The sequence below is a fragment of the Homo sapiens genome, chromosome 7 (assembly GCF_000001405.40).
Source record: "Homo sapiens chromosome 7, GRCh38.p14 Primary Assembly".
Lineage (NCBI taxonomy): Eukaryota > Metazoa > Chordata > Mammalia > Primates > Hominidae > Homo > Homo sapiens.
Genome location: NC_000007.14, coordinates 102,565,436 through 102,588,769, shown reverse-complemented (window position 1 = coordinate 102,588,769; position 23,334 = coordinate 102,565,436). Strand labels below are relative to the sequence as shown.

General features: G+C 53.2%; 3 protein-coding genes and 1 long non-coding RNA gene across 13 annotated transcripts in view, besides 2 other annotated features; all 4 read left to right on the top strand.

Annotated features, from left to right (window-relative positions):
* The window catches only part of RASA4 (RAS p21 protein activator 4), a 37,113-nt gene extending 27,989 nt beyond the window's left edge, over nt 1-9,124 (top strand). For 5 of the 10 annotated variants that reach the window (NM_001079877.2, NM_006989.6, XM_047419706.1 and 2 more), the window contains 4 exons: nt 1,000-1,135; nt 4,432-4,552; nt 5,702-5,766; nt 5,878-9,124. In NM_001079877.2, coding sequence (NP_001073346.2) covers nt 1,000-1,135; nt 4,432-4,552; nt 5,702-5,766; nt 5,878-5,999 — 444 coding nt within the window. In that variant the 3' untranslated portion in view covers nt 6,000-9,124. Of the gene's footprint in view, nt 1-324; nt 537-999; nt 1,136-1,431; nt 1,816-4,431; nt 4,553-5,701; nt 5,767-5,877 lie in introns of those variants that run through there. The other 5 variants (XM_047419702.1, XM_047419703.1, XM_047419701.1 and 2 more) reach the window with 5 other exon arrangements.
* Nucleotides 8,938-15,063, top strand: LOC124901712 (uncharacterized). Its single transcript, XM_047421160.1, has 2 exons — nt 8,938-9,338; nt 14,846-15,063. The coding sequence occupies exons 1-2, from the start codon at nt 8,938-8,940 to the stop codon at nt 14,961-14,963; spliced, it is 519 nt and encodes a 172-aa protein (XP_047277116.1). The 3' UTR covers nt 14,964-15,063.
* Nucleotides 15,847-16,020: a silencer, noted in NCBI's record as "fragment chr7:102213197-102213370 (GRCh37/hg19 assembly coordinates)". NCBI's record gives its function as "represses an EF-1alpha promoter that drives an FKBP-Casp9 reporter gene in an ReSE screen in K562 erythroleukemia cells {active_cell/tissue: K562}" and the evidence as "EXISTENCE:reporter gene assay evidence [ECO:0000049][PMID:32094911]".
* Nucleotides 16,187-21,804, top strand: POLR2J3 (RNA polymerase II subunit J3). Its single transcript, NM_001097615.3, has 4 exons — nt 16,187-16,298; nt 18,846-18,935; nt 20,586-20,760; nt 21,687-21,804. Exons 1-4 carry the CDS (start codon nt 16,249-16,251, stop codon nt 21,717-21,719), a joined length of 348 nt encoding a protein of 115 aa, NP_001091084.2. The 5' UTR covers nt 16,187-16,248; the 3' UTR covers nt 21,720-21,804.
* The window catches only part of POLR2J3-UPK3BL2 (POLR2J3-UPK3BL2 readthrough), a 34,665-nt gene continuing 27,517 nt past the window's right edge, over nt 16,187-23,334 (top strand). Inside the window, exons 1-4 of the long non-coding RNA NR_173351.1 lie at nt 16,187-16,298; nt 18,846-18,935; nt 20,586-20,760; nt 21,687-21,773. This is a non-coding gene — a long non-coding RNA (POLR2J3-UPK3BL2 readthrough). The remainder of the gene's footprint in view (nt 16,299-18,845; nt 18,936-20,585; nt 20,761-21,686; nt 21,774-23,334) is intronic.
* Nucleotides 16,387-17,048: an enhancer, noted in NCBI's record as "H3K27ac-H3K4me1 hESC enhancer chr7:102212169-102212830 (GRCh37/hg19 assembly coordinates)". NCBI's record gives its function as "activates a minimal SCP1, AML or CMV promoter by ChIP-STARR-seq in primed H9 embryonic stem cells {active_cell/tissue: H9 hESC(primed)}" and the evidence as "EXISTENCE:reporter gene assay evidence [ECO:0000049][PMID:30033119]".

The following is a 23,334-nucleotide window of genomic DNA, read 5'->3' as shown; positions in this document are numbered from 1 at the left end:
TCGCTTGAACCTGGGAGGTGGAGGTTGCAGTGAGCTGAGATCGAGCCACTGCACTCCAGCCTGGTGACAGAGCAAGACTCCATCTCAAAATAAATAAATAAATTAATTAGTAAATTAATTAAAGAGTGGTCAGGGAGGACCTCTGATGGGTGGCATTCGAGCAGGGACCTTGTAGGAGGGTGACCCAGATGTGTATCTAGGGCAGGGACATGTGGGACAAGTAAGAAGCCTGCAGCTGGAGGGGGGTTGGTTTCTTCCGGGCTTGACCGTCCTGGCCTGTGGGGAGGAAGTCACAGACCTGTCCCTCTGTGCCCTTCCCTCTAGGAGTTCCCTTTTGTGTCAGGGTCCAGAGCCACTGGGAAAAGTAGTGATATCAGGGCCACCAAATATATTTGGCGGGTTCTGGAATACCTACGAGCGTGGCCAAGGGGCCAGCGGCGGCTGAAATCCAGCCCACACCAGCCTCCTGGGCTCCTACCATCCCGGTGCCTTCCGTGGGGACAAGTGGAGCTGCTGCCACCAAAAAGACGAGACAGGTGGGAGAGGAGAGGATGAAGTCTTGCTGTGTTGCCCAGGCTGGTCTTGAATTCCTGGGCTCAAGCGATCCTCCCACCTCGGCCCCCTATAATCCCAGCTGTAGTCCCAGCACTTTGGGAGGCTGAGGTGGGAGGATCACTGGAGGCCAGGAGTTTGAGAACAGCCTGGCCAATGTAGCAAGACCCCATCTCTAAAAAAAAGGAATTAGCCAGCCATGATGGCATTATAGGAGTGAGCCACTGGGATTATAGGAGTGAGCCACTGCACCTGCTCTCCAGGCCATGCGCCCGGGCATGGGTCATGTTCCACTGGAGGAAGGGCAGCTTCTCCTAATTCACTCAAAGCTGCTGGGTTGGTATGGTGGGGAACATGGCGTCTGGCGTGGTACAGGAGCTCCGGGTTAGGAGGGCTTCCTGGAGGAGGTGACGTCTGAACAGGCCTCCCCCTCCGTGTCCCCTGCAGTGTGTGAATGAGCTTAACCAGTGGCTGTCTGCGCTGCGGAAGGTGAGCATCAACAACACCGGACTGCTGGGCTCCTACCACCCTGGCGTCTTCCGTGGGGACAAGTGGAGCTGCTGCCACCAAAAAGAGAAGACAGGTGGGAGAGGAGGCCTGGGTCCCGGGCTCTGCATCCGTCCACTGCGAGATCGGGCCTCTGGCTGAACGATGGGACCCTGAGCCCTGCTGTGCACCTGCAGGGACCTAACCCAAGGAATGCTGGCCCCTCCAGGAGCTCTGGGCAGAAAGGGTCCCGTGGACCAGGTGGTTTGGGAAATGCCACGTGATGTGTGTGATGCATATGAGTGAATTCGCTGAAGGCTCTAAGGAGGCCCGAAAACACGTTAGAATCCCATTTCTTTTTATTTCTTCTTCTTCTTTTTTTTTTTTTTTCAGACACAGACTTTCACTCTGTCCCCCAGACTGGAGTGCAATGGCACGATCTCAGCTCGCTGCAATCTCCACCTCCCAGGGTCAAGCAATTCTCCTGCCTCAACCTCCCCAGTAGCTGGGATGACCGGCACTCGCCACCAAGCCTAGCTAATTTTTTTGTATTTTGACTAGAGATGGGGTTTCACCATGTTAGTCAAGCTGCTCTTGTTTTGTTGTTGTTGTTGTTGTTGTTGTTGTTGTTGTTTGATACTGAGTCTCGCTCTATCATCCAGGCTGGAGTGCAGTGGTGCAATCTCGGCTCACTGCAATCTCCGTTTCCCAGGCTCAAGTGATTCTCCTGCCTCAGCCTCCCAAGTACTACAGGCGCAAGCCACTGCACCCAGCTAAGTTTTGTATTTTCAGTAAAGACGGGGTTTTACCATGTTGGCCAGGCTGGTCTTGAACTCCCGACCTCGTGATCTGCCCTCCTCGGCCTCCCAAAGTGCTGGGATTACAGGTGTGAGCCACCACGCCCGGCCTAGAATTCCATTTCTAACGTGGTTTAACCCAGCACTTCCCAAACTCTTTTGACAGGGAACCCTTCTCTTCCCCAAGGAGCTTCTTACAGAACAGGTGTTCTCAGGAACACATTCGAGGAGCCCCCTGCTAATGAGAGCCAGAGAGCCCCTGGGTTCGCACACTCCAATGCTGGCCATCTGAATCCGGAGCTGTGGGTGGGAGGGGACCCTGAGCCTTGGGCACTAGAGGGATGGCATAGAGGAGCTTCTAGAAGGACTCCATACTGTGTAGTACTCTAGGTTCTAGCACCTGTGGTTCTTGAGCACTTGAAATGTGGCTTGAGGAGCTGAGGGGTTTTTTTTGTTTAATTTTTTAAAACAGGGTCTTGCTCTGTTGCCCAGGCTGGAGTGCAGTGGCACGATCATAGCTCACTGCAGCCTCCAACTCCTGGGCTCAAGCAATCCTCCTGCCTCAGCCTCTGAGTAGGCTGGCACTACCGGCATGCATCACCACACCTGGCTCATTTAAAAAAAATTGTTTTAGAGGTGGGGTCTTGCTATGTTGTTCAGGCTGGTCTTGAATTCCCAGGCTCAAGCAATCCTCCTGCCTCGGCCTCCCAAAGTGCTGAGATTGTAGGAGTGAGCCACCACATCTGGCCTGAGTTTCACATTTTTAAAAATGTTGTTTTGGCCGGGTGTGGTGGCTCACGCCTGTAATCCTAGCACTTTGGGAGGCCAAGGTAGGCGGATTGCCTGAGCTCAGGAGTTAGAGACGAGCCTAGGCAACATGGTGAAACCCCATCTCTGCTAAAATACAAAAAAAAAATTAGCCAGGCATGGCGGCGTGGGCCTGTAGTCCCAGCTACTCAGGAGGCTGAGGCAGGAGAACTGCTTGAACCTGGGAGGCAGAGGTTGCAGTAAGCCAAGATGGTGCCACTGCACTCCAGCCTGGCGACAGAGCGAGACTCCATCTCAAAAAAAAAAAAACAAAAAAACAAAAAAAAAAACAGAAAAGAAACAAAAAACGTTGTTTTAATTTTAATTAACTCAAATAGCTTCATGTGGCTAGCTGCCGCCCTGTAGAACAGCACAGTTCTAGAACTTTCGAGACCTTCTCCCTGTTATCCACACTTACTTTACAGAGTAGACTCAGCACTTCGAGTCCCCTGTCCTTCAGGCCAGGCCAAATCTTGGTCCCCAGAGCCCAGTGTGGCAGAGGCCATCGAAAACTGACCCACGCACTCTAGCCCAGCCCTGGATTTACAGCCAAGCACTGTATAGGGATGGGTGACTCTTTTGTTTTTGTTTTTGTTTTGAGTTGGGTCTCTCACTCTCTCACCCAGGCTGGAGTGCAGTGGCATAATCATAGCTCACTGTAGCCTTGACCTCCTGGGCTCAAGCCATCCTCCTGCCTCAGCCTCCTGCAGAACTGGGACTACAGGCACATGCCACCACACCCAGCTATTTTTTATTTTATTTTTTTGTAGAGTCAGGGTCTCACTGTGTTGCCCAGACTGGTCTTGAACTCCTGGCCTCAAGCTATCTTCCTGCCTCAGCCTCCCAAAGTGCTGGGATTACAGGTGTGAGCCACTGTGCCTGGCCTCTTGGTGACTCTTTGCAAGGGCATTGCTGGCTGGCTGATATGGCCTGCAGCCTCTGCCTGTAACCATCAGAGCGATACTCTCATTATCGGCAAGGTGGGACCCACCCTGGCCCAAGAGACAGGGCCTGTTATTCCACTGTATGGAGGAGAAGCTGAGGCTTAGGGAAGGCAGATGACTTGGCAAGGTCATAAAGACAGCAAGCTGCAGGACCAGCTCATTCTAAGGCATGAACCCCCTGTGGCCCACCTCACCATGATGTTAACATTTCAGCCTGCTCCCTTCCAGGCAGACAGTCTTCCAGAAAGTTACCCGGCTCCCTGGCTGGGCGCGGTGGCTCACGCCTGTAATCTCAGCACTTTGGGAGGCCGAGACGGGCAAATCACGAGGTCAGGAGATCGAGACCATCCTGGCTAACACAATGAAACCCCGTCTCTACTAAAAATATAAAAAATTAGCTGGGCGTGGTGGCGGGCATCTGCAGTCCCAGCTACTCAGGAGGCTGAAACAGGAGAATGGCGTGAACCTGGGAGGCAGAGCTCGCAGTGAGCCAAGATCGCGCCACTGCACTGCAGCCTGCACGACAGAGCGAGACTCCGTCTCAAAAAAAACCAAAAGTTACCCAGCAACCCGAGTCATATCCTGATGATATCCATGCTCCTCAGTCACGCATCCCGTGGTGCAGGGGCTGACCCCAAGAGGAGCTGCTGCCCACAGAGGGTGGGGAGCCGAGGCAGGGCCTGGGTCAGACTTACCAGGCTATGCTCCCAGCCCAGCCCTCACTAGGGACCCCCGAGTGCATCTCTCTCCTCTCCAGGCCTCTGTTTCTCCATCTGTGCAACCACAGTGTTGGACATGGTAGTCCCAAGTGTCTGCTCGTAACTTTGCCCTCTCTGTGCCCCCAGGTCAGGGCTGCGATAAGACCCGGTCACGGGTGACCCTGCAGGAGTGGAATGACCCTCTTGACCATGACCTTGAGGCCCAGCTCATCTACCGGCACCTGCTGGGCGTGGAGGCCATGCTGTGGTGAGTCCCACCCAGGAGAGCCTGTGCAGCCTGGGGAACGTGCCAGGCTTGGGGCTGCTCCATGGTGGCTGGTCACCTCTCTTGTAATTGGCCACATCTGGGGAGGGCACCAGGAGTACCTCTCTGCAGCACGAGGCCAGCTCAGGTTAGGACAGAGGCCCCAAGGGTCAGGGCCATGCCTGCTTCATGCCATGTGCTGACTGAGCCCACCTTGCAACCTGCCCAGCTGTTCCCCTGGGCCCTTGGAGTACAGGCACAGCCTCAGCCAATTCCCTGAGTTCCCTGGCCATCTTGCTTCATCCAGTGGTTCTCAGCCTTGGCAGAAGCTTAGAAAAAACAAGATGCTTTTAAAGATCAGCTTTAAAAAACAGGATGCCAAGGCCCCATCACTCAGGGTCTCTGGAGATGTGGCTGGTGCCAGGATACTTCAAGGTGATCCAGTGCTTCCCATGCGCTCAGCTTCCCCTGAGCCAACTGGAGCTGGAGCTCATTCATCTGTCACACCCCTACACTCTGCAAGGAGGAAGGGTGTGGTCCTCCCCATTCCTCATCGACTCTTCCAGGGTTTATCTCTGCCCTCAAAACCCACGAAGGTGGGGTGCGGTGACTCATGCCTGTTATCCCAGCTCTTTGGGAGGTGGAGGCAGGCAGATTGTTGGAGATCAGGAGTTTGAAACCAGCCTGGCCAACATGGCGAAACCTCTTCTCTACTAAAAATACAAAAATTAACTGATGTGGTGGAGGGTGCCTGTAATCCCAGCTACTCAGGAGGCTGAGGCAGGAGAATTGCTTGAACCCAGGAGGTGGAAGTTGCAGTGAGCTTAGATTGCGCCACTGCACTCCAGCCTGGACCGCAGAACAAGACTCTGTCTCAAAAACAAAACAAAACAAATGCAAAGGGCCTTCTGGTCAACCCACAGTGGGATGGGGAGGAGGAGGAGACACGGGGAGGGAGAAGGTGGAAGGTGCCCTGGTGGGCCTTGGCCCAGCCTCTTCACAGACTGAAAGAGTCAGCCCTGCCATCACCCCCAGAGCCACCTCTAGCCCAGGAGGCCCATGCTGGGCCACCCCCAGCCTTCCCACAAGGACACCAGAAGGTCTGGCAGGGAGAGTGGAGGCTGCTGGCCCTCACTCTGACCTCCCCCACAGGGAGAGGCACCGGGAGCTGAGCGGGGGCGCAGAGGCAGGCACGGTGCCCACGAGCCCTGGCAAAGGTAGGTCTTGCCCACCTGGGACTTGCTCGTGGCCCGAGCCCCCTCCAGAGATGCACGGGTGGGGTCCTCGGGCTCACTCCCAGGGGCCCTCACGGCTGCCTCTGCCCACAGTCCCCGAGGACTCATTGGCCCGGCTGCTCCGGGTGCTGCAGGACCTCCGCGAGGCCCATAGCTCCAGCCCGGCCGGCTCCCCACCCTCAGAGCCCAACTGCCTCCTGGAGCTGCAGACGTGAGGCCCGCCCTACGCTCCCCTTGCTGAGTCCCCTGCCAAGCGCTCGGAGCCCCCCCAGGACACTCTGCACCCCCTCACCCCGGTCCTCCTCATTAGGGTGCAGGGCCTAGGTCTCTTCCAGGTGGGGGAGGGGGGAGAGTCAGGAATAAGGGGATCCCCAGAAGTGCAGAGCTGAGCAGGCTTGGGCCTGTCATGGCTGGCCGGAAGTGTCCCCAGCTCCCTACAGACGCTGTAGCCATCACTGCCTCTCCAGGGACCCTCCTCTCCTGCCCAGGACAGACCCAGCCAGAACCACTGCTAGGATGGGCCGCACCCAGGGGTCTGGCCTCCAGGGACCTAGAGAATGGGAGGGAGAACGGGGCCCCAGGAGACCCGGCCGCCACCCCACCCGCTACCCTTGGGTGCCACAGGGCTGTGCTGTTGCCAACAGTAAACCTGCTCTTACTGTCCAGGCTCTGGGGTCTTGTGATGAGGGTCTGGGGAGAAAGTGGGCCCGGGGGGACCCCGGAGGCTGTCGGTGGATGTGCCGATGATGGGGCTGACAGTATGGGCTCTGGGCATCCCTGTTCCCCCCTCTTTCTTCCCCCCACTCTTCTGGGGTCGGGGGTTCCTTTCCCTTCCCAGTTGCTGTCCCTGGGTCCCCTCTTTCATGTCCCACAGGCCACAGAGCCCAGTGTGTCCAACCAGCTGTTCTCTCCTCAAAGCAGCCCCCAAGCAAGTCCCTTCTCTAGGGTGTCCCTGAGGACAGCACAGAGGCGGGACTCAGAGACCCCATTCCTCTTCACGCAGCCCTTACCCCAAGCCCTCTAGCTGTGTGGCTGGCAGTGTTGGCCACGTAGGGGCTCCCATCCCCCCACCATTGTGTCACATGGGCTGCCAGGCTCAGCTCCCAGCTGCGTCCACAGTGACCTGGATCAGGGTGGGGACAAGGACTGGACCCTCCTTCTCCAGAAGGCCTTCAGCTCTTGCCTTGCCATGCAGTCACCTCCTTCCCCCTCTGACCCCAGATCCCAAAGGTGCACCGTTGCCCCAGCCCCTTTCTGGCCCCATGGGGTTTCTCTGATGCCTTCATCATAGAGGCCCGGGGCTGGTCCGATGGTTGGCAAAACTTGACTCCGGCCCAGTCCCCACTCTTGGGGACTTAGAACCCCTGCTGTCCTGGGATCTGGCCTGCCTTTCTTTGGTCAGTCCCTGTGGTCCCCCACCAGCTCCCCCTCCCATAGGGCTGCCCACCAAGCCCTGCCCCCAGCCCAAGAGGAGCCCCCACTGCCTGCGGGGCAGTGATGTCTGGCCACCGGCTCACACCAATGACTTGGTCCTGGGGTGGCAGAAGCAGCAGGTGACAGGAGCAGGGCCCCTGTCCCTCTCTTCTGGCCCTGTGGTACCCAGGCCACACGTTGTGCCCGCTCTTGGGGCTGACCGGCTGTAGGGACCACCAGCCGCTGCTACTGTGGGCCGCCCCGGGGCAGGGTGGGCAGGGCTTTTGTGGGTTATGAGGACACAGAAGTCCCTGAGGCCCCCAGACCTGGCTCAGCCAACCTCCTTCCTCCCCCGGTTGCCCCCCACTCTAAAGCCTCCTCCCTCCCAGCGTCCACTGGCTCCAGGCTCCTCACAACAGCAGCTCATAGACACGGGGCGTCTCCAGGTGGTCCCAGCCCTCCAGATGTTTCTAGCTCTCCAGGTGGGCGCTGTTTTCACGTCTGCCTGCATCCATTCATTCCTTCATTCCTCACCTTTATCCTGTTATCTCTATTTTTTTAAGCTACCAGGAAGGAAAGGGAAGAAGAGATCACGAAACTGGGACCCCCAGAAAGGAGGAGTGGGCTTTGAACTTAGACATCTACCTCAGAGCTCAAATAGGTTGTTTAAAATCACATTCAATTTTCAGATGAAGGGGAACTTTATAGTTTTTTTTTTTTTTTTTTTTTTGAGACAGAGTCTCACTGTGTTGCCCAGGCTGGAGTGCAAATGGCTTGATCTTGGTTCACTGCAACCTCTGCCTCCCAGGTTCAAGCAATTCTCTTGCCTCAGCCTCCCGAGTAGCTGGGACTAAAGGCGTGTGCCACCATGCCCAGCTAATTCTTGTATTTTTAGTAGAGACGGAGTTTCTCCATGTTGGCCAGACTGGTCTCGAACTCCTGACCTCAGGTGATCTGACCGCCTTGGCCTCCGAAAGTGCTGAGATTACAGTTGCGAGCCACTGTGCGTGGCCAGAACTTTATAATAAGAGACTTGAAGCTGGGTGTGACGGTGCACACCTCTAGTCCCAGCTACTCGGGAGGCCAAGACAGAAGGATCACCTTGAGGCCAGGAGTTTAAGGCCAGCCTGGGCAACATAGCAAAACCTAGTCCCTAAAATTAAAAAAAAAAAAAAAAAAAAAAGGAAAATAAAGGAGACTTGAAATTTTTGAACTAAATAGTGGTGATGGCTACACATTGTGAATGTAATTAACACCACTGAGTTAAACACTTAAAATGGTTAAAATGGCAAATTGTATGTTATACCTATTTTACTACAATAAAAAGTATAAAAAAGAGAAGATATTTAGGTGACTTACAGCAACCAATTGCAACAAAACAAAATGTTAAGAAATGATCTTTTTATGAGGCAATTGGAAATTTGAACACTGATCAACTATAGGATGATTGGAATTATTAATTTTTAAAGGTGTGATAAGATACTGCACTTGGCTGGGCACAGTGGCACATGCCTGTAATCCCAGCTACTTGGCAGGCTGAGGTGGGAGAATCGCTTGAGCTCAGGAGTTCGAGACCAGCCTGGGCAACGTGGCGAAATCCCCGTCTTTACAAAAACAAACAAACAAACAAAAAAGATATTGCAGTTGTGTTGTAAGCGTCCTTATCTTTCAGAGCTACATAGTGGAATGTTTATGGAATATTTAGGATAAATGATATAGGCATTTGGGATTTGCTGCAAAATGACCCAGAGGCAGGGGTCAGGGGGAGAGGTAGAGATGAGACAAGAGGTAGAGGGGAGAGGTAGAGGTAGCCACGAGCTGATAATTACAGACAAGAGATGCGGAGTATGTGGGGGCTCATTATCCTGCATAGTCTATCTTTGTATATCTTTGAACTTTTCAAGAATAAAAAAGCTTAAAAAGTATACATGGCCTGGTCCTACCAGAGACTCACCCAATGCCAGCCTCCAGCCAGGGAGAGCCAAGTTTGCATTTTCACACGCATCTCACACTCCTCTGCACTCTCAACTTGGAGCGCTCCAAACAGGGAAACCCCAAGCCTTGCTGGCTTCTGCCAACCCCCTGAGCAGAAGCATGGGTCCCCCTGATCACCACCTCACCACCCTCATCCTGATCTCACTGTACACAGCAATGTAAACCCCAGTGTAATTAACAAGACTGAGGATACCTGTAATCCCAGCACTTTGGGAGGCTGAGGCCGGCAGATCACATGAGTTCAGGAGTTCGAGACCAGCCTGGCAAACCATGGCCAACATGGCAAAGCCCAGTCTCTACTAAAAACACAGAAATTAGCCAGGTGCGGTGGTGCGCATCTGTAACCCCTACTACTTAGGAGAATTGGATTGAACCCGGGAGGCGGAGGTTGCAGTGAACTGAGATCGCACCACTGCACTCCAGCCTGGGTGACAGAGTGATTCTCCATCTCAAAAAAAAAAAAAAAAACAACAAGACAGAGGAGAGGAGGGGCAGAGTCTTCCAGAACATCTTTTTTTTTTTTTTTTTTTTTTTTTTTTTTTTTTTTTTTTGAGACAGAGTCTTACTGTGTTGCCCAGGCTGGAGTGGAGTGGAGTGATCATAACTCACTGCGGCTTCCAACTCCTGAGTTCAAGTGATCCTCCTGCCTCAGCCTTCTGAGTAGCTGGGACTACAGGTGTGCACCATCATGCCCAGCTAATTTTTTGTACTTTTGGTAGAGACAGGGTCTCACCATGTTGTCCAGGTTGGTCTCCAACTCCTGGGCTCAAGCCATCCTCCCACTTCAGCCTCCCAGAGCGCTGGGATTACAGGACCACCGCACCCAGCCACGAACACATTCTCAACGCTCATCCAAGCAAGCTCTGAGCCTCCCCTTTGTCCTTAGCCTAGGACAGCCCCCAGTGTCCCAGGGCTCAGACATGACCCCTGACCTGGCTGCCCAGCTAGGTTCTGGGGCAGGGCCAGTGGGGCATCCTGTATACCTTGGCTCTTCCAGGAATAGTAGGGAAAGGCAAAGAGGGCTGGGCACGGTGGCTCATGCCTGTAATCCCAGTACTTTGGGAGGCCAAGGTGGGTGGATCACCTGAGGTCAGGAGTTAGAGACCAGCCTGGTCAACATGGTGAAACCCTGTCTCTACTAAAAATACAAAAATTAGCTGGACATGGTGGCAGGTGCCTGTAATCACTACTTGAGAGGCTGAGGCAGGAGAATTGCTTGAATTTAGGAGGTGGAGGTTGCAGTGAGCCGAGATCGGGCCACTCCACTCCAGCCTGGGTGACAGAGAGACGCTGTCTCAAAAAAAAAAATAAAAAGGTCAAGGGGAAATTAAGATTCAAGGGGCCTGCCCTCTCCCTCTTCCCTGTGGCTTTTGGGGCCATACCAACCTTTTCTCCTGGCTGTGGCCTTGGTGGATACCATTTCCCCCATAGGCAGCCCACCAGCCCGACCCCTTAGAGCTTCATAGCCTGCTGTGCTCTGCCGTCCTATGGGCAACTAAGCCTTTTTGCTGGATTGGGTCCCTCCCCTCCCTTCCTGGCCCAAGGCCCTGGGTCCAGGGACAGCTGAGCCTGATGCAGCCCCTACCCCACCCCAAATCACCAGCACCTGGTTCTCTGGCTACTTCCTTAGGGGTACACAAAAATCCTCATGCCTGTTGGATCTCCTTGGGTTTCAAGGACCTTCTCTCTAGGAAGTATGGCCTCCAGGGTCTCCTGAGCCTAAACGCAGGCAGTGAAAGGGAAGGAGCCGTGGACTTATTAGGGCTACAAGTGGAAACCTGGATCTTGAGTGCACACACACAGCCACCCTTCTGGCAGCATCCACCATGCCTCTCCTCCCCTCCCCAGATCCTGACCACTGCAGCTGGAAGGGAAGTTAACATCAGTGCATGCCTGGCACTGCCCCCTGGTTCTCCTCTCAGGCCCTGAGCAGAGCTGCCCATAGTCCATCATGCCACATTGTTTCTGGAGGCCACCTGGAAAAGCGAGAGGAGCAGGAGAGGGTATACCTTCCATCTGTCCCACAAGTCTATACCACCCCCTCCCAGAGACTTCAAGCCCTGGCATTCAACTGGGGCCTGGGGCAGGTTCCCAGATGTTTTGTTTGTTTGTTTTTGTTTTTGTTTTTGTTTGAGATGGAATCTGGTTCTGTCGCCCAGGCTGGAGGGCAGTGGTGTGATCTCAACTCACTGCAACCTCCACCTCCCAGGTTGAGGCGATTCTCCTGCCTCAGCCTCCTGAGTAGCTGGGATTTACAGGCACATGCCACCACTCCCAGCTAATATTTTGTCTTTTTTTTTTTTTTAGCAGAGATGGGGTTTCATGGAGTTTCACCATATTGGCCATGCTGGTCTTAAACTCCTGACCTAAGATGATCCTTCTGCCTCAGCCTCCCAAAGTGCTGAGATTACAGGTGTAAGCCACCGCACCTGGCCTATTTTTTTTTTTTTTTTTTTTTGAGACAGAGTCTCCCTCTGTTACCCAAGCTGGAGGATAGTGGAACATTCTCGGCTCACTGCAACCTCTGCCTTCCAAGTTCAAGTGATTATCCCACCTCAGCCTCCCGAATAGCTGGAATTACAGGTGCCCATCACCACGCCTGACTAATTTTTGTATTTTTTAGTAGAGATGGGGTTTCACCATGTTGGCCAGGCTGGTTTTGAACTCCTGAACTCAAGTGATCCGCCCACCTCATCCTCACAAAGTGCTAGGATTACAGGCATGAGCCACCATGCCCAGTCCCAGATGTCTTGAGGATCTGATTGGACCCCCAGGCAGATATCTGCAGCCCAGGGGGCTGGTGTTCACCACAGGGCAGGGCAGGCACCCTGGGAAGGCTTGACTGGACCTAGCTCACCCAGTACCTGTTTCTCTCAACCTCTTAGGAAATCTGAACAGGTATGCAGCAACCACCTCCGGACAAGGCCTTTTCAAAGTATAATTTTCAAACATGTAAAAAAGATGACTCATATATATCATGAACACATATCAAAGATCTACTACGCATCAATTCAGAAAAAGAGTGGGAACTCTGATTCATGGATCATTCTGAGAAGCTGGGTACATGTATTTCATGTATTTGTAAGCATTCTTTTGTTTTGTTTTGTTTTTGAGACAGGGTCTCGCTCTGCCACCCAGGCTGGAATGCAGTGGTGCAGTCATAGCTCATTGTAGCCTGTTCCTCCTGGGCTCAAGCAATCCTATTGCTTCAGCCTCCCAAGTAAATGCAACTACAGGCACACACTACTATGCCCTGCTGATTTTTTAAATTTTTAGTAGAGACAAGATCTTGCTATATTGCCCAGGCTAGTTTCAAACTCCTGGGCTCAGGCAATCCTCCCTCAGCCTCCCTAAGTGCTGGGACTACAGATGTGAGCCACTGTGCCTGGCCCGTAAACACTTTAAGAGAAGAATGCTAGAATAAGATTGTGATATTACATACGAAAGTGGTTAATTAATGAAGTTTTCTTTTCTTTTTTTTTTTTTTTGTTTTTTGTTTTTTTTGAGACGGAGGCTCATTCTGTCGTCCAGGCTGGAGTACAGTGGTGCGATCTTGGCTCACTGCAACTTCTGCCTCCCGGGTTCAAGCAATTCTCCTGCCTCAGCCTCCCGAGTAGCTGGGATTACAGGTGCTCACCGCCACACCCAGCTAATTTTTGTATTTTTAGTAGAGATGGGGTTTCACCATGTTGGCCAGGATCGTCTCCATCTCCTGACCTCGTGATCTGCCCACCTCGGCCTCCCAAAGTGCTGGGATTACAGGTGTGAGCCACTGCGCCCGGCCATGAAGTTTTCTTTTCTACGGGATAGACACCCACAAGCTAATAAGTAACTTCAGTGTCTGGGCTGTAACCAAACAATAAATAGCAAAGTCAACACAGGCACAATCCCCAAGATTAGGATCAGCAAACGTTTTCTGTAAAGGACCAGACATGCAGCTCTCAGTCACAACCACCATGCCATGTAGCATGAAAGCAACCACAGCCAATGTGTAACAAATTAGCATGGTATGTGTGGCCAGGGGCAGGGCTCATGCCTATAATCCCAGCACTTTGAGAGGCCAAGGCGAGAAGATTGCTTGAGGTCAGGAGTTCGAGACCAGCCTAGGCAATAAAGTTGGACCCCATCGCTACAAAAAGTAAAAAGAAAAAAACTAGCAGGGCGCCGTGGTGCCTGCCTGTGGTCCCAGGTACTGGGGAGGCTGAGGCAGGAGGACTGCTTGAGCCCAGGAGCTTGAAGCTGCAGTGAGCTATGATCTCACCACTGCACTCCAGCCTAGACAACAGAGCCGAGATCATGCCACTGCACTCCAGCCTGGGCGACAGAGCGAGATGCTATCTCAAAAAAAAAAAGAAAAAAAGAGAAAAAAAGAAAAAAAGTGATAAGGGTAATAATTCCCTGAGGATATAACCTCCACACTTCTGGGTCACCCTGGAAAAGCTTGGGTCAAGGATGCTACCCTTGGCTAGGAACAGTGGCTCACGCCTGTAATCCCAGTACTTTGGGAGGCTGAGTGCAGTGGCGCAATCTCGGCTCACTGCAACCTCCGCCTCCCGGGTTCAAGCGATTCTCCTGCCTCTGCCTCCCAAGTAGCTGGGATTACAGGTGCCCACCACCACGCCCGACTAATTTTTTGTATTTTTAGTAGAGATGAGGTTTCACCATGTTGGCCAGGCTGGTCTCTAACTCCTGACCTCAAGTGATCCGCCTGCCTCAGCCTCTCAAAGTGCCAAAGTGCTAGGATTACAGGCGTGAGTCACCGCACCCAGCCTACCCATATCACTTTCTGTTCCTCAGCAGTTAAAGAGGTGCCCACCCACTTCGCCTGGAAAGTCAGATTCTGTGTGGGGCTGTTGCAGAATGAGATTTCCTCCTGCCAGGGTGCAAGAACTCAAGTAGGAAATGGGCCTTCCCAGAAGGGGTAGATGCTCCAGATTTCCTCAGCACTGTAGCTGCTGCCCAGCCTTGGAGAAACAGCTGCCAAACTGTTAGGGCCCTGGTAGCTCCTCTGAGACCCCAGTCCCTGTTGCTTCAAACAGCTTAAGGAGGGCCTTTATGCTAAACTGTAGTCTGCAAAGCAACCAAACCAAAAAGGGTAAGATACACTTATCCACCTGTAGGGTCCAGCCCCACAGGGTCGGTGGGTTTCTCTCCATGTGCAGAGACGAGAGAGCGCAGAAATAAAGACACAAGACAAAGAGATAAAAGACAGCTGGGCTGGGGGGACCACTACCACCAAGACGCAGAGACCAGTAGTGGCCCTGAATGCCAGGCTGCGCTGATATTTATTGGATACAAGACAAAGGGGCAGGATAAGGAGAGTGAGCCATCTCCAATGATAGGTAAGGCCACATGGGTCACGTGTCCACTGGACAGGGGCCCTTCCCTGCCTGGCAGCCGAGGCAGAGAGAGAGAGGAGAAAGAGAGAGAGACAGCTTACACCATTATTTCTGCTTATCAGAGACTTTTAGTACTTTCACTAATTTGCTACTGCTATCTAGAAGGCAGAGCCAGGTGTACAGGATGGAACATGAAGGTGGACTAGGAGCGTGACCACTGAAGCACAGCATCACAGGGAGACGGTTATGCCTCCGGGTAACTGTGGGCGGGCCTGTGGAGGAGTAGAGTCTTCTCTAAACTCCCCCGGGGAAAGGGAGACTCCCTTTCCCGGTCTGCTAAGTAGCGGGTGTTTTTCCTTGACACTAACGCTACAGCTAGACCACGGTGGGCTTGGCAACAGGTGTCTTCCCAGATGCTGGCGTTACCGCTAGACCAAGGAGCCCTCTGGTGGCCCTGTCCGGGCATAACAGAAAGCTTGCACTCTTGTCTTCTGGTCACTCCTCACTGTCCCCTCAGCTCCCATCTCTGTATGGCCTGGTTTTTCCTAGGTTATGATTGTAGAGCGAGGATTATTATAATATTGGAATAAAGAATAATTACTACAAACTAATGATTAATGATTCATATATAATCATATCTCAGATCTATATCTAGTATAACTATTCTTATTTTATATATTTTATTATACTGGAACAGCTCGTGCCCTCGGTCTCTTGCCTCGGCACCTGGGTGGCTTGCTGCCCACATCCACCAAGTGCACTTTGGGAGGCTGAGGCTGGAGGACTGCTGGAGGCCAGGAGTTCAATACCAGCCTGGGCAACATAGGGAGACCCCCCCCCCCACCATCTCCAAAAATAAAAAAAAAAATAGCTAAGTGTGATGGCACATGCCTGCAGTCCTAACTATCGGGAGGCTGAGGCAGGAGGATCTCTGGAGCCCAGGAGTTGGAGGCTGCATGATGGCGCCACTGTACTTCAGCCTGGGCGACAGAGGGAGACGCTGTCTCTAAATAATAATAATAATATATAAAAAGATATACGTAACCCTACGGGCTCCCCTCTCACTGCTGTATACACCTGCCTCCTTCTGCATCCCTCACCCAATTGTCCCTCCCGGCTAACAAGCCAGCTGCACCCCCCAGGCAGAGGTCCTGCAGCAGTCGGTATAGGCAGCCTGGGCAGGGGGCTTGTCATAGATCTGCCTCTGGCCACGAGATCTTCTGCTCCCCCTACGGCTGCTAGCCGCAGCTGTCCACTACCCCTTAGCTTTATTCTCTCTATTCAGGGGCCTCCTGCTGCGCACTCCAAGGGGGTGCACGTTTCCAAAGAGAGATCAAGGGACATGGGGAAAGGAGAAAGGTACAGCTTGAGGTTCCCGCTCAGCCAGGACTAGGAGGCCTCTGTAGGGGCAGAACAGCCCTGCCGGCGCTCTGAGCATGCGCCGAAAAGCGCCCACGGGGAAAGCCATGCCGGGGTGCGGGGTGGGGGGGTGGGGGGGGGGGGGGGCGGTGCGCTCGCCACTGACGCATGCGCAGAGACACTGGTCTCGCTCGGGGTTTTCTCGCGCCTGCGCAAGATCCTCCAGCCCAACAGGGGGCGATGAGCCGATCCTTGCGCGGGTTTGCCCCGCCGGAGTAATCCGGAAGAGGCCTCTTATTAGGGCTCTGGTGGCGGCGGTGGCGGACACTTGGGGTCTGGACGCAACGGCGGCGGGAGCATGAACGCCCCTCCAGCCTTCGAGTCGTTCTTGCTCTTCGAGGGCGAGAAGTAAGTGACGCCGGCTGCGGAGGGCCGAGGTGCGCGGGCCTGCGGCTGTCGCATTCTGGGGTGTCTCCTGCCCATCTCTTGCCCCGGGAGGGAAACAGCTTTTGCTTGATCGTCTGCTCGGCCTGTGTCAGCCAAATTTAAGGCCGTTCCGCGAGGCAGTCGCGAGTGTGTTCATTTTGCAGATGAGGACACTGAGGCTTGGAGGCGAGCAAGTTGCCCCGGACACAGGAAGTGGCGGCGCTTGTATTCGAACCCAGAGTGTCTGGTTCTCCATAGCCCTTTTCCTCTGGGATCTGGCAGCTTCCTCTTTTTGTCTCTCGCCCGCCACCTCCATCCTTCATCCCCTCCGATCTGTCAGCGGCCTGCGTAAAAGCCGCAGTGGCTCCTCGCTGCCTGCGGGTTGAAGGAGTCCAGGGGAGAGAGCTTGGGCTCACTCTGTATCTGTGGGCGAGTGGCTTGATCTGTCGGAGGCCCTGTTTCCTCATCTGGAAAATGAGTTTATTACTGTACTTAAACGTGGGATTCAGGCCGGGTGCGGTGGCTGACACCTGTAATCCCAGCACTTTGGGAGCCCGAGGCGGGCGGATCACCTGAGGTCGGGAGTTCAAGACCAGCCTGACCAACATGGAGAAACCCTGTCTCTACTAAAAATACAAAATTAGCCGGGCGTGGTGGCAGATGCCTGTAATCCCAGCTACTCAGAAGGCTGAGGCAGGAGAATCACTTGAACCTGGGAAGTGGAGGTTGAGGTGAGCGGAGATCACGCCATTGCACTCCAGCCTGAGCAACAAGAGCGAAACTCCGTTTCAAAAAACAAAAAAAGGGATCTGGCCAGGTGCGCTGGTTCACGCTTTTAATCCCGGCACTTTGGGAGGCTCAGGTGGGAGGATTGCTTGAGCTGAGCACAGGAGTTCCAGGCTGCAGTGAGCTTTGATCGCATCACTGCACTCCAGCCTGGGCGACTGAGCGCAATCCTGTCTCAAAATAAAAAGAATTGGATGAGGTAATTTGTGTAAAACTCTTGGTCCAAAGCTCAGCCCCTGGAAAACCTCATAACCATTGGCTCTTATTGTTCCCAGGTTGGCGTGCAGAGGTCTTGGTCTGGCCCTTGCCAGCCACTTCGGCCTCCTTTAGAGCAGACTCTCAACTGGGGACCATTTGGCCCCACAAGGGACATGTGGCAATAACTGAGAACATTATTGGTTGTCAAAGGGGGTTATGACTGGAATCTACTGGGTAGAGGTCAGGGATGCTGCTGATGTCCTACAATGTCCACAAGACAGCACCCCACAGGAAAGAATGATGCACCCTAAAATGTGTGTGGTGTCAGCCTGGAGAAACCACCTTAGAAAAAAGGATATTCAACTTGATACCTCTCACCTGTGTGAGATTTTACTGTCAGCATAGTTGCCCTCAAATTGAGTGTGCATTAGAATCACCTGAAGGGCTTCTTAAACCATAGATCCCTGCGCCCCACCTCCAGAGTTCTGGGTCCAGTAAGTGGGAGGTGGGAGACTCTTAACAAGTTCCCAGGGGATTCTGATGCTGCTTATCTGGGAACTGCACTCTGAAAACCCCTTGTCTTGGAAAATCCAATGGAAGTTTCCTGTCTTTGTCCATCTAAGCGTTCACTAAAATCATAGTAAATGCCAGAGCATGACTTGTTTTGGGGAATGGATGGAAGGACTGCACACTCCAGCCAGGGGGATGGTTGCTTTCGGAACTCACAGGGTCAGGACCAGCCTCACCGTGTAACTTCAGGGCCTCTCTTCTTCACCTTTTGGTTGCTTCATTATGTTGGCGTAAGAAAAAAGGAACAGGCCAGGCATGATGACGTGCGCCTGTGGTCCCAGCTACTCAGGAGGCTAAGGCGGGAGGATCACTTTAGCCGAGGAGTTGGAGGCTGCAGTGAGCTATGATCACACCACTGCACTCCAGCCTGGGCAGCAGGAGAGATCATTTGAGGCGAGGAGTTCAAGACCAGCGAGGACAACAAGGCAAAACCCCATCTCTACCGGAAAAAAAAAAGGAGGAATTCAGAAAAGGCCAAGGTTCCATAGACCTGGGGTAGCAGGAAGTAGGGGACCGGGTTGGCGAGGCCTTTATGGGATGAAGAGATTGAGAAAGGCCTTCAGGAAGAGGCAGAGCTTATTTTTCCTTTTTATTTTTATATTTTTGATACAGAGTTCCACTCTGTTGCCCAGGCTGGAGTGCAGTGGCATGATCTCGGCTCACTGCAACTCCACCTCCCAGGTTCAGGTGATTCTCCTGCCTCAGTCTCCCAAGTAGCTAGGACTACAGGCATGGATCACCACACTCAGCTAATTTTTTTTTTTTCTTTGTATTTTTAGTACAGACAGGGTTTTGCCATGTTGGGCAGGCTGGTCTTGAACTTCTGACCTCAGGTCATCCATCCACCTCAGCCTCCCAAAGTGTTGGGATTACAGACACGAGCCACCACACCTGGCCGGGAGGAGACAGGGTTTAGACTCAGGGTGGGAGGAGGGGAGCCCCTGCTCCTCATCTGTGGCCTCTGTGTCTTCCTAGGATCACCATTAACAAGGACACCAAGGTACCCAATGCCTGTTTATTCACCATCAACAAAGAAGACCACACACTGGGAAACATCATTAAATCGTAAGTTTCCCGTCACAGGCTCTCAGGGGCTATGTTTAATGGGCCCCTCTGGGCAAAGCACAAGTTCCAAGTCTTCCTCAGTCTCTCTGAGCTACAGGAAGTCCTTCTGGGGGCTTGCTCTGGGCATTTTATAATCTTGGTACCTTTTTATCAAAATGACACCGACCTCCATGTCTTCACATAAGCCACACTTCTGTAGTGGCTTATTCTGTAGATGAACACGTGCATTTACATTCACTGTTTGTTTGTTTGTTTGTTTTTGAGATGGAATTTTCTCTCTTTGTTGCCCAGGCTGGAGTGCAATGGCACGATCTTGCTCACTGCAACCTCCGCCTCCCGGGTTCAAGTGATTCTCCTGCTTCAGCCTTCCTAGTAGCTGGGACTACAGGCCCACGCCACGATGCCCGGCTAATTTTTGTGTTTTTAGTAGAGACGGGGATTCACTGTGTTGGCCAGGCTGGTCTCGAACTCCTGACCTCAGGTGATCCACCTGCTGGCTTCCCAAAGTGCTGGGATTAGAGACGTGAGCTACTGCGCCCGGCCTTACATTCACCATTAAGTGCACATTCTGTAAATGAACGAGCAGCAGATTCCAGCACAGTAGGCCTGTTTGTTATTCATGCTGAGGGACATTGAAAAGCAGTCAAGATTAGCTCCCCTCATGCCACCCGTTTGTGACCTCAGTGCCACCTGGGCCTCTAAGATGTATGTGGCAGAGACTAGAACTTCTATTTAACAAGAGAAAGAAGTAGGAGTTCTGTGGCTATCCAGTGCCCCTAATGGGCACCCTGCATTGGTTGGTGGGTGTTTGTTTATACCAGTGAGGTCCTAGCCAGGTGGTTGGTCAGGGATGTGTCTGCCATTCTGGCCCAGGGACTTGCCATTTTACTGTAGACTTGGCTCTTCCCTCTGGTGCCACCAGCGAAGCCAGGCTTTTCCCCGTCTGTGAGTGGGGTCTGCCCAGTCTCCTGGTGTGGTCAGGCACGGGGATGGAGGAATCCTGCCCGGAGCCCAGCCAGTGGGGCACCCAAGCTCTCCTGGGGCCCTGCTGCTCCCCTGCTCTTGAGCTCAGTGTTGCCACCTATGCACGGGTCCCCCTTGTGGTGCTCACGCCACTCTGAGCCACTCTAGAGGAGACCCCTGCATGCCCAGGGCACAGTACGCGATGCAGCCCCATGGCACAAGGCCCAGTGTGCGTGGCCAGCCGCTGGCGGCTGTGCTGCTCGGAGGGCAGAGTTCCATTTGCATTCCACTCACTGCCGGGAGCTGGCCCTCCTCTCCTGCTGCCTTTATTTGCTGCGTGGAGGCTCTTTGTGGGCTTTTTGGGTCTGAGTCACTGAACACTGGCTGGACATTCACTGCCTGGGAGATCTCTTTGCCAGCACTGCGGTGCCCGGTGGGAAGAGGTTGCTGGAATCTCTTTCCAGCTCGGGTCCTTCAACCTCATGGATGCAGAGTGTGTGTGTGTGGCGGGGATAGGGTGTCCCCACATGAGGTATCTTCCTAAAAGTGTTACTTTCCTTGAAGACTTTTTGGGAAAAAAGTTGGGGGGGATTTTTGGCTAGAAAGTCTGTTCTTCTGCTCTGAGCTGGCTGCTACCCAGCTTGGGCATGAGGCTAGACCCTCACACTGTCTGTCCCTGGACCTCAGACAACTCCTAAAAGACCCGCAAGTGCTATTTGCTGGCTACAAAGTCCCCCACCCCTTGGAGCACAAGATCATCATCCGAGTGCAGACCACGCCGGACTACAGCCCCCAGGAAGCCTTTACCAACGCCATCACCGACCTCATCAGTGAGCTGTCCCTGCTGGAGGAGCGCTTCCGGGTGAGGGCGGGGCCTGGAGGGGCAGACGGGGTGGGCTGGACACTGGCCCGTGTGCCCAGGCCTGGGACAGCCCTGGCCTGTTTCTTCGGAGGTCCTCAGGGAGAGGCGGCGGTGATGGAAGAACAGGGACTTCCACCACAGGCTCCAGGACATGTGGACTGAGGGGCTGTGGAGTCTGGGCCTGTGGCTCCCGTCTGCCCCATGGGACTTCTGTAGTGCTGCAGGGTCCCTCGGGTGCTGTGGGCCAGATCCGGGCGGGGACCTACTGTCCTTTGGGGGTGCTCTTCTACGTCCCTTGTCGGTGATTGGCAAGGCCTGGTCCTTCCAGGCCTCTGGGAGGCAGCTCACCCCAGGGTGGCCCACACCTGTTCCTAGCAGGGCGCCTGGGAATCTAGAACAGTTTAGAGGGGAAAGAGCCACAGCAAAGAAAAGCCGAGGCAGGGTGATCACGAGGTCAGGAGTTCAAGACCAGCCTGGCAAACATGGTGAAGCCCTGTTTCTACTAAAAATACAAAAATTAGCTAGGCATGGTGGCATGTGCTGTAGTCCCAGCTACTCGGGAGGCTGAGGCAGGAGAATCGCTTGAACCCGGGAGGCGGAGGTTGCAGTGAGCCGAGATTGTGCCACTGCACTCCAGCCTAGGTAACAGAGCAGGACTCCATCTCAGTCAATCAATCAATCAATCAATCTCAGCGGTTGAACTACCCTTGACATGGTTCAGCTCTGTATCCACACCCAAATGTCATGTCAAATTGTAATTCCCAGTGTTGTGGGAGGGACCTGGTGGGAGGTGATTGGCTCATGGGGGCCGACTTCCCCCTTGCTGTTCTCGTGATATTGAGTGAGCGCTTGTGGGATCTGGTTGTTTAAAAGCGTGCAGCCCTCCCACTTCACTCTCTCTGTCTCTCCTGCTCCAACATGGCCAGACGTGCCTGCTTCCCCTTCGCCTTCTGCCGTGATTGTCAGTTTCCTGAGGCCTCCCCAGCCACGCTTCCTGTACAGCCTGCAGAACTGTGAGTCAATTAAACCTCTTTTCTTCATAAATTACCCAGTTTCTCATAGTTCTTTATAGCAGTGTGAAAACAGACTAATGGACCCTTCTGGTTGAAGGAATGCAGCCATTCTGCTTGTTTGACTATGTCCTTTCTATTCATCTCTATTTCCTGGGAGGTGTTTATCCAAGTGCAATAGGAGGTATTGGTGACCGCACAGTCCCCTCAGTGTTCTGCTAGTAAATAGTTGAAGGTTGATCATTGATCTTCTGCGTTTTCAGTCTGGCATGGAAAAGCCCCTGTGCAACTGGTAAAGATATCAATAAGCACCAGGAGGTATCTAAATCCACCAGGAGCCATAGGCATCACGTTGACATCCATTTACCAGTCTTCCCTGGCAAGATTCTTCTGAATTGTGCTGCCTTGGCCAAAAGAGGTATGGGAGGGGCTGGGCGCAGTGGCTTGTGCCTGTAATCCCAACATTTTGGGAAACCAATTCAGGTGGATCGTTAGAGGTCAGGGGTTCAAGACCATCCTGGCCAACATGGTGACATCCCATCTCTACTAAAAATACAATAAGTTAGCTGGGTTTGGTGTTGGGTGCCTGTAATCCCAGCTACTCGAGAGGCTGAGGCAGGATAATCGCTTGAACCTGGGAGGAGGAGGTGGCAGTGAGCTGAGATCGTGCCATTGCACTCCAGCGTGGGCAACAAGAGTGAAACGTCGTCTCAAAAAATAAAAAAAAGGTCCGGGCTTGATGGCTCACACCTGTAATCCCAGCACTTTGGGAGGCCAAGACGGGTGGATCACGAGGTCAGGAGTTCAAGACCAGCCTGGCCTAGATGGTGAAACCCTGTCTCTACTAAAACTACAAATATTAGCTGGGCATGGTGGCATGCACCTGTAATCTCAGCTACTCAGAAGTCTGATGCAGGAGAATTGCTAAAACCCAGGAGGGAGAGGTTGCAGTGAGCCGAGATTGCACCACTGCACTCTAGCCTGGGCGACAGAGCAAGACTCCGTCTCGAAAGAAAGAAAGAAAGAAAGGAAATTCCCCAGGGAAGTACCTCGGCTGATTTCATAAACAGGTACCGAAGGAAGCAGAGGCATGTGGAGGACTTCCCCACCTCATGCAGCTATTTGGGCCATGGCGTCTGAAATTTATTATTTCAGAGTCACCCCTTTGATGACCTTGGCAGTGAACTGCAGTCATCTGTTTAGGCCTTTCCATGGCCCACGTCAATGCCGTTATTTCTGTTTGTTGCACATTTGATTTCCTTGTTGTTGGCATTTAGAAGGCCCCCTGCTTCCCAGATCACACCACGGGCATGGACCACAGAGATTGCATCTTGTGAGTCTGTAGAAATGGTCAAGGCCTTGTCCTCTCTTAGGTCCAGAGCTCAGGTGAATGCAGATTTTCCCGGCCATCTGTGCTGAAGTCCCTGTGGGGAGGCTCCTGGCTGGTTTCCTGTAGGTAGACAGCTACACGTCCTGCCCTTCATTGGCTTCTTTTCATGAAGCTCCTGCCATCTACAAAACATGTCTCCCTTCTTGAATCACATCTCTGTTATTGAAACTCTAG

Excerpts from the sequence above, each read along its gene's own strand:
- LOC124901712 (XM_047421160.1), top strand. The coding sequence starts at position 8,938 with ATGACCCAGAGGCAGGGGTCAGGGGGAGAGGTAGAGATGAGACAAGAG. Across the intron at positions 9,339-14,845 it reads ACCCTCATCCTGATCTCACT|GGAGACTCCCTTTCCCGGTC; the intron begins GTACACAGCAAT and ends CCCCGGGGAAAG.
- POLR2J3 (NM_001097615.3), top strand. The coding sequence starts at position 16,249 with ATGAACGCCCCTCCAGCCTTCGAGTCGTTCTTGCTCTTCGAGGGCGAG. Across the intron at positions 16,299-18,845 it reads TTGCTCTTCGAGGGCGAGAA|GATCACCATTAACAAGGACA; the intron begins GTAAGTGACGCC and ends GTGTCTTCCTAG. Across the intron at positions 20,761-21,686 it reads TGCTGGAGGAGCGCTTCCGG|ACGTGCCTGCTTCCCCTTCG; the intron begins GTGAGGGCGGGG and ends CAACATGGCCAG.